Source organism: Homo sapiens, chromosome 6 (assembly GCF_000001405.40).
Source record: "Homo sapiens chromosome 6, GRCh38.p14 Primary Assembly".
NCBI classification, from domain to species: domain Eukaryota; kingdom Metazoa; phylum Chordata; class Mammalia; order Primates; family Hominidae; genus Homo; species Homo sapiens.
The window spans coordinates 111,899,398-111,917,072 of NC_000006.12; the positions used below are offsets into that span (position 1 = coordinate 111,899,398).

General features: G+C 38.9%; 1 long non-coding RNA gene across 1 annotated transcript, besides 1 other annotated feature; it reads right to left on the minus strand.

Annotated features, from left to right (window-relative positions):
* Window positions 1-907: 907 nt before the first annotated feature.
* On the minus strand, window positions 908-10,000 carry LINC02527 (long intergenic non-protein coding RNA 2527). Its single transcript, NR_149099.1, has 3 exons — window positions 9,529-10,000; window positions 2,346-2,453; window positions 908-1,744 (listed from the first exon to the last, which is right to left on the minus strand). It is a non-coding gene; the product is annotated as a long intergenic non-protein coding RNA 2527 (long non-coding RNA).
* Window positions 8,711-9,397: an enhancer, noted in NCBI's record as "NANOG-H3K27ac-H3K4me1 hESC enhancer chr6:112229311-112229997 (GRCh37/hg19 assembly coordinates)". NCBI's record gives its function as "activates a minimal SCP1, AML or CMV promoter by ChIP-STARR-seq in primed H9 embryonic stem cells {active_cell/tissue: H9 hESC(primed)}" and the evidence as "EXISTENCE:reporter gene assay evidence [ECO:0000049][PMID:30033119]".
* Window positions 10,001-17,675: the final 7,675 nt, after the last annotated feature.

The following is a 17,675-nucleotide window of genomic DNA, read 5'->3' on the forward strand; positions in this document are numbered from 1 at the left end:
CTGACTTCCCTGCCTCCTGTCTTCTCTGAGCCACCTGTCACTGCTATGGTTTACCTCATTATAACACTGTTGTGCTGGACCCTTTTTGACTTCAGTAGGGATGACACCATGTTCAAGAGGCTGAAGAAGAAACCCAGAGCCAGCAAAGGAGACACAGGGTTCATTGAGGGAAGTTACTTACAGGGCAGTCTGGTGGCAGTGGGGAGGACAGGAGAACCACAACTGCTTGTAAAAAACATACAGTTTATAGTGTGTTTTCACTTAGCACCATTCCCCTAGCAACCTCCATCTGGCAACCTTCATTTAACCCAAGACAAAAGGCCTCAATCCTCTGTCTGGCCCGCATTCCATGGGATGGGCCAAGGGTTCAACTATTCCTCATAGATAAGAAATGAATCTCCGGGTTGGCTATTTCTGGATTCTTTAGCTTGGAACTCTGATGCACATTCTTCTTCTTCTTTTTCTTTTTTCGAGAAAGTGTCTTGTTCTGTCACCCAAGCTGGAGTGCAGTGACATGACCTCCTGGACTCAATCAATCCTCCTATCTCAGCCTCCTAAGTAGCTGGGACTACAGGTGCTTGCCACCATACCTGGCTAGTTTTTGTTATTTTTATTTTTATTTTTTGTAGAGATGGGGTTTTGCCATGTTTCCCAGGCTCTTCTTGAACTCCTGGGCTCAAGTGATCCTCCCACCTATGCCTCCCAAAGTGCTGGGATTACAGACATTAGCCATTGCTCCTGGCCCACAGGTTCTTCTTAAGTTATTGCCATGTCAGCCATTCAAACACCAATTTGACTTTTTGGGGGGCCTCATGTCCCCAAGTTCCCTTTTCAGTCATGTGCAAATCCTTTCTTATCTGCATGATGGTGATTACTGACATTTATTAAGGAATTGCTGAATGCCAAGTACGTGCCAACCATACATATTTTATTTGATCCTCACAACAACCCAATGAGGTAGGTTCTCATTTTACAGAAAGGAGGTCAAGGTTTCCAGAGGTTAGCAAATTTCTAAGTCTTAGAAAAGTATGTGACAGAGGCAGGATTTAAATGCAGGCCTAACTTAACCATGAAAGTGTTCTGCCTCTTGTTGAATTTAAAGATAGAAGAATAGACATAGAAGTTTATAGCCTCTCCTTTCAGAGAGCCTGCTAAAATATTTGAAAAGATAAAAGAGGCTTAAGCTTGCAAGTACAAAGAGAATAGGAGAGAAGACATTAATTGATGAAATATTTCAATCATATTTCAAAAGACAGGAAAGGAATGTAGGAAAGGTGTCTGATATAACCAGATTGAGGATATCATATCTTAAAGGACAAGCAAGAAGTTGGTACTAACAAGGAGACAATAAGTTAGTCCTGTAGACTCCTGGAGAAGCTCCGAAACTGAGGAATCCAGTACAGCAGAGAGTGTGGGAATAAACTGAAGAATATGTTAACATGGGAAACAGTCTGTGTACCTCACTTACGGCTCAGGCATAGAACCCTAGCAGCTGTGTAATCACCCCCCCAGGCAGGAGGCTGATTATTCTTTGGAGAATGGGAGGCAAGAGCCTCAGGATTTGGAGACAATATGCACGGCCTGGCCCAGAATTAGTCATAGGGCTGCAAGCGAGAGAATTAATTGCAAATCTGCCTATGGCATGGCCGTACTCCTCAGTGCTTTTCCCTCTCTTTGCTCCTAGGATGCAGGTTGCCTTTTAGACAGGACAGGAGGATTCCTTGCTGGAGAAACTGAGCCGTTCCTAGGAAAAGAGATACAAAGTATGTTAGCATTTTGCAGTCCTCCAACAGGATGATGATTTCCTAACCAGTCAAAGTGAAGTCAACGTGGAATGGACTACGTGAAGGAAGCCTGCATTCGTGTTCTATTGCCACTGTGACAAATTATCACAAACTAAGTGGCTTAAAACAAGATAAATGTATCAGTTCTCAGTTCCATAGATCAGAAGTCCAACACAGATATCACTGGGTGAACATCAAGGCCTTAGCAAGGCTGTGATCCTTTCTGGAGACTGTAAGGGGGAATTCATTTCTTTGCCTTTTTCCAGCTCTCCTTGGCTCATGGTCCCCTTCCTCCATCTTCAAAGCCAGCAATGTCAGCAAAGTCCTACTCCTGCGGATCCCTCCCTGGTCCTTTCTACCTCCCATTTTCCCTTCTAAGGACCCTTATGATCACTTTGAGTCCATCTGGATAGTCCAGGTTACTCTCCCCATCTTAAAGTCAACTGATTAACAACCTGAATTCCTTCGGGAATCTTAATTCCCCTTTGCCGTAAAACAACATATTCGCAGATTCTGTATATTAAGGGCAAGGATATCTCTGAGGGCCATTATTCTGCTCACCACACTCTCCCCACGTGAAAGAGAAAGAGCAAAAACAACGAAGTCTGAGAAACTGCCACAGTTGAGAGGGGCCTAAGGAGACGTGATGATTGAATGTCCTGTAGGATCCTGGATGGAACAGAAAAAATCATTAGATAAAAAGTTAGGAAATGTGGGTAAAGGATGGGCTTGGATTAAAACTATATCAATATTGGTTCATTCATTATAGTAAATGTGCTATTAAGATATTAATATTATTAATTTAATTTATAAGGAAAACTGGGTGTGGCATATACAGAAAATCTCTGTACTATCTTTACATGTTTTTGCAAATCTAAAACTATTCTAAAATAAAAAAAAATATTTTTTAAAAAAGGAAAAATAGTGGTTGCCCCTTGGAGTAGACTAGGAATGAAAGTGTGGGATAGAGGCGTCTTCTTATAATTTTCTCTTCTTGAAAATTACATTTTAAAACCACGTGAATGCATTATTTTGATGAAAATATTAAAATATAAAAAAAAGTTCCCCTCTTTGCTCATGCTTTTTCCTCCTTCTGTGATGACCTTCTCCTCATCTTTGTCCAGTAAATCTTGCTCAGATCTTTAAGACTCAAGACAAATGCCAGACTCTGAAATTTGTACCAATTACCCCAAGGAAAATTAATTATGCCCCCACTTTGTGTTACCCTTGCATTTGCATATGTAATTATGCAGCATATCACACCGCATCATTATTATTGGTTTAGTGTCTGTCTTCTCTACCAGGATGTGAGCTCCTGGAGGGCAAAAACTATCTTATCCATCTTTATGTCCTCAGTGATAATAGAGTAGCTGGCTCATAAGATACTAAAGAAATAGATACTGAGTTAATGACTGGGAAAAATGAATCAATAAATGAATAAATTAACAGGAGGAGCAATCTACTGAAGAACCATTGGTTTATCCTCAGCATTTTTTAGTTCCAAGAAAGAAGAGGGGATTGTACTACAAAGGTTATCAAGTCCTAGTCTGAATATGAGAATCAGATCAAGAAAATTACCATCTTGGCACACACTGGGAAGATAAGCTGGTGCCAAAACACTGGGCTTGTCAGCAAAAGTAATGTGTGTATGAGTTTAATATGAACTAAATAGAAAATATTCATAAAATACCTTTAAGAAAGCAAGATCATGTACTTCTACAACTGCAATGAAAATATGCCATTTTTGTCCATTAAAATAATAGAATAAATTACCTGTAACAAAGTGGGATCAATGATACAAACTATATATTTAAAATATCTTTTTTTTATTATACTTTAAGTTTTAGGGTACATGTGCACATTGTGCAGGTTAGTTACATATGTATACATGTGCCATGCTGGTGCGCTGCACCCACTAACTCGTCATCTAGCATTAGGTATATCTCCCAGTGCTATCCCTCCCCCCTCCCCCCACCTCACCACAGTCCCCAGAGTGTGATATTCCCCTTCCTGTGTCCATGTGATCTCATTGTTCAATTCCCACCTATGAGTGAGAATATGCGGTGCTTGGTTTTTTGTTCTTGCGATAGTTTACTGAGAATGATGATTTCCAATTTCATCCATGTCCCTACAAAGGACATGAACTCATCCTTTTTTATGGCTGCATAGTATTCCATGGTGTATATGTGCCACATTTTCTTAATCCAGTCTATCGTTGTTGGACATTTGGGTTGGTTCCAAGTCTTTGCTATTGTGAATAATGCCTCAATAAACATACGTGTGCATGTGTCTTTATAGCAGCATGATTTATAGTCCTTTGGGTATATACCCAGTAGTGGGATGGCTGGGTCAAATGGTATTTCTAGTTCTAGATCCCTGAGGAATCGCCACACTGACTTCCACAATGGTTGAACTAGTTTACACTCCCACCAACAGTGTAAAAGTGTTCCTATTTCTCCACATCCTCTCCAGCACCTGTTGTTTCCTGACTTTTTAATGATTGCCATTCTAACTGGTGTGAGATGGTATCTCATTGCGGTTTTGATTTGCATTTCTCTGATGGCCAGTGATGATGAGCATTTTTTCATGTGTTTTTTGGCTGCATAAATGTCTTCTTTTGAGAAGTGTCTGTTCATGTCCTTCGCCCACTTTTTGATGGGGTTGTTTTTTTCTTGTAAATTTGTTTGAGTTCATTGTAGATTCTGGATATTAGCCCTTTGTCAGATGAGTAGGTTGTGAAAATTTTCTCCCATTTTGTAGGTTGCCTGTTCACTCTGATGGTGGTTTCTTTTGCTGTGCAGAAGCTCTTTAGTTTAATTAGATCCCATTTGTCAATTTTGTCTTTTGTTGCCATTGCTTTTGGTGTTTTGGACATGAAGTCCTTGCCCATGCCTATGTCCTGAATGGTAATGCCTAGATTTTCTTCTAGGGTTTTTATGGTTTTAGGTCTAACATTTAAGTCTTTAATCCATCTTGAATTGATTTTTGTATAAGGTGTAAGGAAGGGATCCAGTTTCAGCTTTCTACATATGGCTAGCCAGTTTTCCCAGCACCATTTATTAAATAGGGAATCCTTTCCCCATTGCTTGTTTTTCTCAGGTTTGTCAAAGATCAGATAGTTGTAGATATGTGGCGTTATTTCTGAGGGCTCTGTTCTGTTCCATTGATCTATATCTCTGTTTTGGTACCAGTACCATGCTGTTTTGGTTACTGTAGCCTTGTAGTATAGTTTGAAGTCAGGTAGTGTGATGCCTCCAGCTTTGTTCTTTTGGCTTAGGATTGCCTTGGTGATGCGGGCTCTTTTTTGGTTCCATATGAACTTTAAAGTAGTTTTTTCCAATTCTGTGAAGAAAGTCATTGGTAGCTTTATGGGGATGGCATTGAATCTGTAAATTACCTTGGGCAGTATGGCCATTTTCACGATATTGATTCTTCCTACCCATGAGCATGGAATGTTCTTCCATTTGTTTGTATCCTCTTTTATTTCCTTGAGCAGTGGTTTGTAGTTCTCCTTGAAGAGGTCCTTCACATCCCTTGTAAGTTGGATTCCTAGGTATTTTATTCTCTTTGAAGCAATTGTGAATGGGAGTTCACTCATGATTTGGCTCTCTGTTTGTCTGTTGGTGTTGTATAAGAATGCTTGTGATTTTTGTACATTGATTTTGTATCCTGAGACTTTGCTGAAGTTGCTTATCAGCTTAAGGAGATTTGGGGCTGAGACAAGGGGTTTTCTAGATATACAATCATGTCGTCTGCAAACAGGGACAATTTGACTTCCTCTTTTCCTAATTGAATACCCTTTATTTCCTTCTCCTGCCTAATTGCCCTGGCCAGAACTTCCAACACTATGTTGAATAGGAGTGGTGAGAGAGGGCATCCCTGTCTTGTGCCAGTTTTCAAAGGGAATGCTTCCAGTTTTTGCCCATTTAGTATGATATTGGCTGTGGGTTTGTCATAGATAGCTCTTATTATTTTGAAATACGTCCCATCAATACCTAATTTATTGAGAGTTTTTAGCATGAACGGTTGTTGAATTTTGTCAAAGGCCTTTTCTGCATCTATTGAGATAATCATGTGGTTTTTGTCTTTGGCTCTGTTTATATGCTGGATTACATTTATTGATTTGCGTATATTGAACCAGCCTTGCATCCCAGGGATGAAGCCCACTTGATCATGGTGGATAAGCTTTTTGATGTGCTGCTGGATTCGTTTTGCCAGTATTTTATTGAGGATTTTTGCATCAATGTTCATCAAAGATATTGGTCTAAAATTCTCTTTTTTGGTTGTGTCTCTGCCCGGCTTTGGTATCAGAATGATGCTGGCCTCATAAAATGAGTTAGGGAGGATTCCCTCTTTTTCTATTGATTGGAATAGTTTCAGAAGGAATGGTACCAGTTCCTCCTTGTACCTCTGGTAGAATTCGGCTGTGAATCCATCTGGTCCTGGACTCTTTTTGGTTGGTAAACTATTGATTATTGCCACAATTTCAGCTCCTGTTATTGGTCCATTCAGAGATTCAACTTCTTCCTGGTTTAGTCTTGGGAGAGTGTATGTGTGGAGGAATTTATCCATTTCTTCTAGATTTTCTAGTTTATTTGCATAGAGGTGTTTGTAGTATTCTCTGATGGTAGTTTGTATTTCTGTGGGATCAGTGGTGATATCCCCTTTATCATTTTTTATTGTGTCTATTTGATTCTTCTCTCTTTTTTTCTTTATTAGTCTTGCTAGCGGTCTATCAATTTTGTTGATCCTTTCAAAAAACCAGCTCCTGGATTCAATAATTTTTTGAAGGGTTTTTTGTGTCTCTATTTCCTTCAGTTCTGCTCTGATTTTAGTTATTTCTTGCCTTCTGCTAACTTTTGAATGTGTTTGCTCTTGCTTTTCTAGTTCTTTTAATTGTGATGTTAGGGTGTCAATTTTGGATCTTTCCTGCTTTCTCTTGTGGGCATTTAGTGCTATAAATTTCCCTCTACACACTGCTTTGAATGCATCCCAGAGATTCTGGTATGTTGTGTCTTTGTTCTCATTGGTTTCAAAGAACATCTTTATTTCTGCCTTCATTTCGTTATGTATGCAGTAGTCATTCAGGAGCAGGTTGTTCAGTTTCCATGTAGTTGAGCGGTTTTGAGTGAGATTCTTAATTCTGAGTTCTAGTTTGATTGCACTGTGGTCTGAGAGATAGTTTGTTATAATTTCTGTTCTTTTGCATTTGCTGAGCAGAGCTTTACTTCCAAGTATGTGGTCAATTTTGGAATAGGTGTGGTGTGGTGCTGAAAAAAATGTATATTCTGTTGATTTTGGGTGGAGAGTTCTGTAGATGTCTATTAGGTCCGCTTGGTGCAGAGCTGAGTTCAATTCCTGGGTATCCTTGTTGACTTTCTGTCTCGTTGATCTGTCTAATGTTGACAGTGGTGTGTTAAAGCCTCCCATTATTAATGTGTGGGAGTCTAAGTGTCTTTGTAGGTCACTCAGGACTTGCTTTATGAATCTGGGTGCTCCTGTATTGGGTGCATATATATTTAGGATAGTTAGCTCTTCTTGTTGAATTGATCCCTTTACCATTATGTAATGGCCTTCTTTGTCTCTTTTGATCTTTGTTGGTTTAAAGTCTGTTTTATCAGAGACTAGGATTGCAACCCCTGCCTTTTTTTGTTTTCCATTTGCTTGGTAGATCTTCCTCCATCCTTTTATTTTGAGCCTATGTGTGTCTCTGCACGTGAGATGGGTTTCCTGAATACAGCACACTGATGGGTCTTGACTCTTTATCCAATTTGCCAGTCTGTGTCTTTTAATTGGAGCATTTAGTCCATTTACATTTAAAGTTAATATGGTTATGTGTGAATTTGATCCTGTCATTATGATGTTAGCTGGTTATTTTGCTCGTTAGTTGATGCAGTTTCTTCCTAGTCTCGATGGTCTTTACATTTTGGCATGATTTTGCAGCGGCTGGTACCGGTTGTTCCTTTCCATGTTTAGCGCTTCCTTCAGGAGCTCTTTTAGGGCAGGCCTGGTGGTGACAAAATCTCTCAGCATTTGCTTGTCTGTAAAGTATTTTATTTCTCCTTCACTTATGAAGCTTAGTTTGGCTGGATATGAAATTCTGGGTTGAAAATTCTTTTCTTTAAGAATGTTGAATATTGGCCCCCACTCTCTTCTGGCTTGTAGGGTTTCTGCCGAGAGATCTGCTGTTAGTCTGATGGGCTTCCCTTTGAGGGTAACCCGACCTTTCTCTCTGGCTGCCCTTAACATTTTTTCCTTCATTTCAACTTTGGTGAATCTGACAATTATGTGTCTTGGAGTTGCTCTTCTTGAGGAGTATCTTTGTGGCATTCTCTGTATTTCCTGAATCTGAACGTTGGCCTGCCTTGCTAGATTGGGGAAGTTCTCCTGGATAATATCCTGCAGAGTGTTTTCCAACTTGGTTCCATTCTCCCTATCACTTTCAGGTACACCAATCAGACGTAGATTTGGTCTTTTCACATAGTCCCATATTTCTTGGAGCCTTTGCTCATTTCTTTTTTTTTTTTTTCTCTAAAATTCCCTTCTTGCTTCATTTCATTCATTTCATCTTCCATCGCTGATATCCTTTCTTCCAGTTGATCGCATCGGCTCCTGAGGCTTCTGCATTCTTCATGTAGTTCTCGAGCCTTGGTTTTCAGCTCCATCAGCTCCTTTAAGCACTTCTCTTTATTGGTTATTCTAGTTATACATTCTTCTAAATTTTTTTCAAAGTTTTCAACTTCTTTGCCTTTGGTTTGAATGTCCTCCCGTAGCTCAGAGTAATTTGATCGTCTGAAGCCTTCTTCTCTCAGCTCGTCAAAGTCATTCTCCATCCAGCTTTGTTCCGTTGCTGGTGAGGAACTGCTTTCCTTTGGAGGAGGAGAAGCGCTCTGCGTTTTAGAGTTTCCCGTTTTTCTGTTCTGTTTTTTCCCCATCTTCATGGTTTTATCTACTTTTGGTCTTTGATGATGGTGATGTACAGATGAGTTTTTCGTGTGGATGTCCTTTCTGTTTGTTAGTTTTCCTTCTAACGGACAGGACCCTCAGCTGCAGGTCTGTTGGAATACCCTGCCGTGTGAGGTGTCAGTGTGCCCCTGCTGGGGGGTGCCTCCCAGTTAGGCTGCTCGGGGGTCAGGGGTCAGGGACCCACTTGAGGAGGCAGTCTGCCCGTTCTCAGATCTCCAGCTGCGTGCTGGGAGAACCACTGCTCTCTTCAAAGCTGTCGGACAGGGACATTTAAGTCTGCAGAGGTTACTGCTGTCCTTTTGTTTGTCTGTGCCCTGCCCCCAGAGGTGGAGCCTACAGAGGCAGGCAGGCCTCCTTGAGCTGTGGTGGGCTCCACCCAGTTCGAGCTTCCCCGCTGCTTTGTTTACCTAAGCAAGCCTGGGCAATGGCGGGTGCCCCTCCCCCAGCCTCGCTGCTGCCTTGCAGTTTGATCTCAGACTGCTGTGCTAGCAATCAGCGAGACTCCGTGGGCGTAGGACCCTCCGAGCCAGGTGCGGGATATAATCTCGTGGTGCGCCGTTTTTTTAAACCGGTCCAAAAAGCGCAATATTCGGGTGGGAGTGACCCAATTTTCCAGGTGAGTCCGTCACCCCTTTCTTTGACTCGGAAAGGGAACTCCCTGACCCCTTGCACTTCCCAAGTGAGGCAATGCCTCGCCCTGCTTCGGCTCGCGCACGGTGCGCGCACCCACTGACCTGCGCCCACTGTCTGGCACTCCCTAGTGAGATGAACCCAGTACCTCAGATGGAAATGCAGAAATCACCTGTCTTCTGCGTCGCTTACGCTGGGAGCTGTAGACCAGAGCTGTTCCTATTCGGCCATCTTGGCTCCTCCACTCCCCTGCTCTCTAAAATATCTTTATAGTTAAATGCAATGTAATATAGAATACAGCAGACACAACAGAAAATAGCATTGTTTAAACAGCATTTTAAATCCTGCTTTGTCCAATCATATTTCTATAATGTCTGTCTTTTAACTTGGCTTCACCATGGTCTCTAAACTCATCCAGGAGGTGGCCCCTGCTTGCACCTCTGCCCTTCTGCCCTCCTGCACCTCTGCCCTTCTGCCCTCCTGCCTTTCAGTTCCTGCAGGCCCCAACTCTCCACTAGCTGGAGGGTCTTGGCTTGCTCCCTCTTCCTGGCATACCCTTCTCTGCTCTTTGTGTGTCTACCATCTTTTGCATCTCAGCTCAAATGTCCCCGTCTCCGGGAGGGCCTCCCTGATGATGTTATCTTAAATAGCACCACCTCCAAATTACTCTTTCTGACGTCACCTTGCCTATATCCTTTATTGCATAAGTTGGTAATTATCATGCTTATTTACTTGCTTTTTCAGATTTTAGCTTTTATATGTTTGTTTGTGTTGTGTCTGTCTCCATGTTAGAAAACAGTGCCACCTCTTCTCCAGGTAACTAGAGAGTCCCAGAGTTCAAGTGTAAAGACTGAGGGCATCATGACCTTCTGCAGGGGGCCTGTAAATGGATCAGAGAAGGGGTATTAGGTTGGTGCAAAAGTAATTGTGGTTTTGGCTGTTACTTTTAATGGCAAAAAACTACAGTTATTTTTGCACCAACCTAATACAAAGGAGGAGAAGTTGTTGGGCTCAATAGTCTCTCTTCTGTTCACTGAGTGGCTCAGGCCTGAGATAAGCAGTATCTAAGGACCCAATAATTAGGGATTCACAATGTTTTTTCAGCCTTCCCCCAATCCATAAATCCGTAACATGTATCCCAATGTGTGATTTTCAGACATTCAAATGAAAATGCTTTTTTAGGAATGCATCCCATGGAAAACTAGGAGTCCACCTATATGGTCTGAAAAATGCCTGCCAGTAGGCCCTTAGAATGGCCTGGGCACAGTATCTTGCTTCCTTTACTTGTCTTTTGTCTTGAGTACACACTGTGCTGCCCCTGCATTCCAAGTCCTGCCATTTCTGTGGGCAGCAGAGAGAACCTAGGAACCTGCTTCTTCTAATAGGAAACATACCTCCCAGACCTTGGCCCCAGCAGACAATGTACTCCCAGTTGAGCAGAAATGTGCATCATTATGTCTTCTAACAAATGTTGCTTTTTAAACTTTTCTCTTTCATTTGAGCACCCCTAAGGAGGGAGCAGGGGGAAGAAAAGCAACAGAAAGGAAGATCATTCATAATAAAAATGATAAGATACACATTTGGGGTTCAGAAGATAAGAGGAACTGGTGTAAATTTACAACAGCAGTTTCTAATTGTAGTCAGATTGCAAAATAGGAATGGATATATGACTCAAAGGGATTAAAAACATAAATAGTAAATAAACATCAATGATGTTCTGCTTAAAAAACATTTAAATATATTCAGACTCAAGTGATTTAGTTCATATCACCATATCCCCAGTAAATTAGAAACCATTAAATGTTGTAGAAATTTATATTTGGCAGAGCTGAGGACAAAATAGCATCATTAAATGATGTAGATACCTTGATGATTAGAGAATTTCCTGGAGAGAATATAGTTCACATAGGAGCCACCAGATTGGCCATGGTCCTTGCTCTGATAGTCGCATGTTTGACAATTTATTCTAAAGAAGTTCTTAGAAGAAAGAAATGCTTATTTGCACTAGGACGTTTATAGCTATTCTATTTGTGTGACAAAACAACAACAAACACAAAACCAACTGGAAGTCATGAAAATGTCCTATAATTGGTAACATAGGTATAATTGCTACATTGATTCAATATTTTGGCATGAAAAATGGTAGGTATATTGACGATATGGACATATGAGAGAGCAGAGAGCATATTTTAAATAACACGAAGTGAAAAAATATAACAGCATTGCACAGCGATTATAATGCTGTGCATATATCTTGAAGAACATAATCATGTAAAAAGTGATTATCAGAAGAGGTTACAAAAGCTTGTACTGGATATTTATGGAGATGGGATCCTTTAGTTTTTTTTTTTTTTTAAATAGAATTGTCTCCCTGTTTGCGTCTCTTTCATTGTAACACTGGATAAATATATTATAATTTAAAACTTTAGCAAATAGAATTTTTAAATAAACTCCATATTGAAGAGCGTGGTGATTTTCCCACTCTCCATAGTCAGAAAGGGTAAGAGTTCTGATGTGCCTTTCTCTGCTGGGCGAGTGTAGTGTAGGAGAGACACTATTCCAATCTATTGCCAATCCTATATGTAGTGAGGCAGCTGCGGAGAGAGAAAGCTGTACCCTGAGATCTTTTCTGCCTTAGTAACCAAACTCTGATTTTTAGCTGAGCGCAGACTCACATGCAGTAAAGACTGTGTTTTCTGACCTGCTTTCCATTCCTGTTCAATTAGGTGACAGAGTTCTGGTTATTAGCGTGTAGCAGATACGTTGTGAGTAGCTTCCAGGAAGTGTCCTTAAAGTGAGAGGGTGGGTGTTCTCTCTTTCTACTTCCAGTTCTCAGATGTGATGGCTGGAGCTCCAACAGCTGTGCTGGCTCATGAGCTAAATGCTAAATGCTGAGGAGAGTAGAGCAACAAGACAAAAATCTGCTCCCTGAGATACCGCGGGACACCGCTTCAGTCCTAGCTGCAGAACTCTAGAAATTTTGCTTAAGTGAATAAAAACCTGTGCGTCCAAAGTACTGTTACTCCCAGCCAAACTGAATCTGAAATAATATAGCCGCCTTTTTCAGCGTACTTATAAGTCTGTATACTTTGTTTCCTAATTTTAAAGAGGAAGAGCATCTTAGAGTTTCCTCTCTAAGTTTTCTCACTGCTTTAACATTTTAAATAATTTAAAGTGGATATCTCCCACTATGGACCAGTGAATGATTAGACCCTTTTGCCCCAAGATTTATCCAGGGTCTTAAAAAATTATTTTTAAAAGTTACTTACTTTTGTTGTTGTTGTTGTTAGAGTCTCACTCTGTCACCCAGGCTGGAGTGCAGTGGCTCCATCTTGGCTCACTGCAACCTCTGACTTCCTGGTTCAAGCAATTCTCCTGCCTCAGCCTCCCAAGTAGCTGAGATTACAGGCACCTGCCACGATGTCCAGCTAATTTTTTTTTTGTATTTTTAGTAGAGATGGGGTTTCATCATGTTGGCCAGGCTGGTTTACAACTCCTGACCTCAAGTGATCTGCCTGCCTTGGCCTCCCAAAGTGCTAGGATTACAGGTGTGAGCCACCCCGCCTGGCCGAAAAGTTACTTACTTCTTGATCCCAAAGTAATAAAAGCTCCTTACCCAAAAAAGATAGAAAATATAGATAGGCAAAAGGAAGAAAATAACTTAGAATACACTTCCCTACATACTCACTGTTAATATTTTTTACTGTTTTTTACATGTATGTTGTACCTACATTTGGTAACCTGCTTTTTCCACCCACTAAATTGTGCATACACTTCCAGATCATTGAATATTCTTCTAAATATCATTTTAAAAGAATGCATTTATTCCATTTCATAGCTAATGTGCCATACTTACCCAATCCCATAGTTTTGGACATTTAAGAAGTTTTTATGTTTTTGTTCTTATAAATAGCACTGTTATGGATTGCTCTTTAGCCTAATATTTGCACATATCATATTTACCCAATAATAAACTTTATAGGTTAAAAGGTAGGCAAAATTATATTGTCACATTATCCTTCAGAAACTTGTACCAATTTATCTCTCTTCCACTCCTCCTTCACTGATAATATAAGAGTATCACATGCCTTGTAACTTTACCAACACTGGATATATCTATCTATTTATTACAGTCTTCAGCTATGTTCCTTAATTTAAAAAATTGTGGTAAAATGTATATAATAAAAGTTATCATATTGACCATTGTCAAGTGTACAATTAGGTGGCTTTAAGCACCTTCACATTGTTATGCAATCATCACCATTATTCATTTCTAGAACTTTTTCATCATCACAAACTGAAACTCTGTACCCATGAGACAAGAGCTCCCTATTTTCCCCCATCGACAGCCCCCGGCACCCACCATTCTATTTTCTGGTCTCTGAATTTGACTACACTAGGTACCTCATAGAAATGGAATCACACAGTATTTTTTTGTGTGTGTGACTGGTTTATTTCACTTAGCATAGTGTTTTCAAGGTTCATCCATGTTGTATCATGTGTCATAATTTCCTTCCTTTTAAAGGCGCTATGTATATATGTATATATATACATACACATTTTATGTATATACCACATTTTTATCCATTCATCTATCAATGGTTACTTGGGTTGGTTCCACCTTTTGGCTACTGTGACTAATGTTCCTATGAACATGGGTGTACAAATACCTCTTCTAGTCCCTGCTGTCAATTTTTTGGGGGGGTATATACCCATAAGTGAAATGCTGAATCTTATGGTAATTCTATGCTTAACTTTTTGAGGAATGGTGCCATACTGTTTTCCATATTGGCTTCACCATTTTACACCCCCACAAATAGTTCACAGAGGTTCCAATTTCTTTACATCCTAGCCACTGCTTATTTTCTGTTTTTTTTGTCTTTTGTTTCCGATGGTAGCCATCCTCATGGACAATATTTAATTGTGGTTTTGATTTGCATTTCCCTAATGATTAGTGATTTTAGCATTTAAAAAAATGTGCTTATAAAAAATATAATATATATTATATATATTTATATATAATATATATTTCTTATAAGCACATTTTTATATAGTTTTATATATAATATAATTATATATAATAATAAGCACATTATATATAATATATAAACATATTTATATATAATATATTATATATAATATATATTTAATATAATATATTATATATAATATATATTTATATATTATATATAACGTATTTATATATAACATATTATATATAACGTATTTATATATAACATATTATATATAACGTATTTATATATAACATATTATATATAATATATAACATATTTATATATAACATATTTATATATAATATATAACATATTTATATATTATATGTAAAATATATATTTTTATAAGCACATTTTTATTATATATAATATATATTTTATATATAATATATATTTTTAAAAATGTGCTCATAAAAATATATATATTTATCTCTATATATGTGTATATACACATATATTTCTATATATGCTTATATATATATATATATATATATATATATATACACATATATACACTTCTAGTTCCTGCCTAATCAAATCAGAGTGTGGTCCTTAGACCAGCAGCATCAGCATCACCTGGAAGCTTGCTAGAAATGCAAATCCTCGGGCCTCACCCCTAGACCTGCTGAATCAGAATTTGCATTTAAGATGCCTGGTAGGTAATTTGTATGCACGCTAAAGTTTGAGAAATACTGCTTTAGAGGTTAATGAAATAGCATTTTTTTCTTTCCTTTTAAGCTTTTCCTCTATTTCCCAGCCACAAGTAATTAAATACTATAAAACACTACAAAAGATCTTTCAGAATAGAAATAAGCAGAATGTGAAGAAATAGCATGCTAGAAGGGAAAGCAGGCTTAGGCAGCAGCTAGTTCAGTTTCCAAACTCCAGTCTTTGTAGCAGCTCCATGGTTTTACATGTAGTGGGGTATCCTTTGTACAATGTTTTACCTAATAATTTTATTTATATGGAATCACTTTTATAAAAAACTGAAATACCTTTTCTCTTTCTTTCTTTCTTTCTCTTTTTTCTTCTTTTTTCTTTTTTCTTTCTCTCTTTCTTTCTTGCTCTTTCTTTCTTTCTCTCTCTCTCTTTTTTTCTCCCACTGCCCCTCTCTTTCTTTCTTTGAGACAAGGCCTTGCTCTGTTGCCCAGGATGGAGTACAGTGGCATGACGATAGCTCACCAAAGCCTGGAACTCTTGGGCTCAAGTGGTCCTCCCACCTCAGCTTCCCAGGTAGCTGGGACTATAGGTGTGTGCCACCATGCCCAGCTAATTTTCTAAAAAATGTCTTTGTAGAGATAGGGTTTCCCTAAGTTGTCCAGGCTGGTCTCAAATTCCTGGCCTAAAGCAATCCTCCCACCTTAGCCTTCCAAAGTATTGGGATTACAGGTGTGAGCCCAGCCTTAAAAATTTTTATTTAAATTAAAGTTTATATCACTTCTACAAATGAAAACCTGTATTACTTGCCAAAAATAGAGGATAACTGTAAAAATAAGTCAATGAAAACAAAGGAATGTTATTAAGATATAAAAATTAACAATGAATTATAAGATATAATGAATCTAGTTATAAAAATATATTTCTACGTAGTTTCTCAGTGAAAGCATTGAAGTCATTTATGATCAACCGTTAACTTGTTGCTAAATTGGAGAGTAAGAGGTTTCATTGAGGTTGTACATCAATGAAAACATTCTTAAAACTTATTTAAAAGCTAACAAGTATCGTGGGCTTACCATGTACCAGGTACAGATCTAAGAGCTTTAACATATATTTAATCCCCATAAAGACTTCATGAGGTATTTACTGGCATACTCCATATTTTACAGATGAGGAAACTGAGACTTAAAGAGGTTCAGCAACTTGTCGGAGGTTACAGAGCTAGTCACAGGCAGAGCAGGGCTTTGAAGCCAGGCATGTCCAGGGTCTAGCACCTGCAGCTGCTTAACCAGCACTGAGAAATCCAAGTCACGTGTGTATTTAGTCGAACAAGGCAAAGATAAACTGTCTACCTTTTCTAAGCATAGTTATGTCCATGGATACAGCCTTTTTGCACTAATTGATTGTCAACTTTTGAAGAGGATAGTTTGACATATTACTGATAGAATACAATGATGTGCCTAGGAATTCAGGGAATAAGAATCTGAGTTATAGATGAACAGCACCTGCTTTAACCTTACTTCTGAGCAATTATGGTTGAGGATCAGGCTCCTGGATCCTGTACTCATTATGCACAACCCTATAATTCAAGTGCTTTTATGATTTGCATTACCAGTGCCTGAGAGAGGAACATCCAGACAATAATATATATGAAATCACAGGTTTCATGTGATATATATATATATATATATATATATATATATATATATATATGGTTCTCTAGAGGGACAGAACTAATGGAATAGATGTGTATATAAAGGTATAAAGGGGAGTTTATTAAGAAGTATTGACTCACGTGATCACGAGGTGAGGTCCCACAATAGGCTGTCTACAAGCTGAGAAGCAAAGAAAGTCCGAGTCCCAAAGCTGAAGAACTTGGAGTTCAATGTTCAAGGGCAGGAAGCATCCAGCATGGGAGAAAGATGTAGGCCAGAGGACTAAATGGGTCTAATCTTTCTACGTTCTTCTGCCTACTTTTATTCTGGCCTCGCTGGCAGCTGATTAGATTGTACCCACCCAGATTGAGGGTGGGTCTGCCTTTCTCAATCCACTGACTCAAATGTTAATCTCCTTTGACAACACTCTCACAGACACACCCAAGAACAATACTTTGCATCCTTCAATCCAATCAAGTTGACAGTCAATACTAACCATCATAAGTCTACCCCTTGTCAACTTGAACCCATACACATCTCCTGAAATCATACACAATCTTCAAAGAAAGACAATAATAAGGTCATAATTATGCCCAACGTAATACAACTATCCTTCGTACAACCGGAAACTCACCAATTCCCCAACCCAAATACTATTACATAAAGTTAGCAATACTTAAATGCTGACATGAAGTCAATAAATCTTATGTCACATGATAAAGGAAAAAGGAAATAAAATAAAGATATTTTCATAGTACAAGTGTATACATGCACAAAGATGTTCTTAACAAAAAGAGGGAGGAAATACTCATGACAATTAACATTCCTCATTTCTGCACCTGGTCATGTGGTCATAGCTGGTATTGATGACTACCTTCTACTATCCCTTCTGTATTCCCTTTGTTTTCAGCAAGAACCTCAGCAGGTCATGGTTTTTTTCCTAGTGGAGTGATCCAAACCTTCATTCC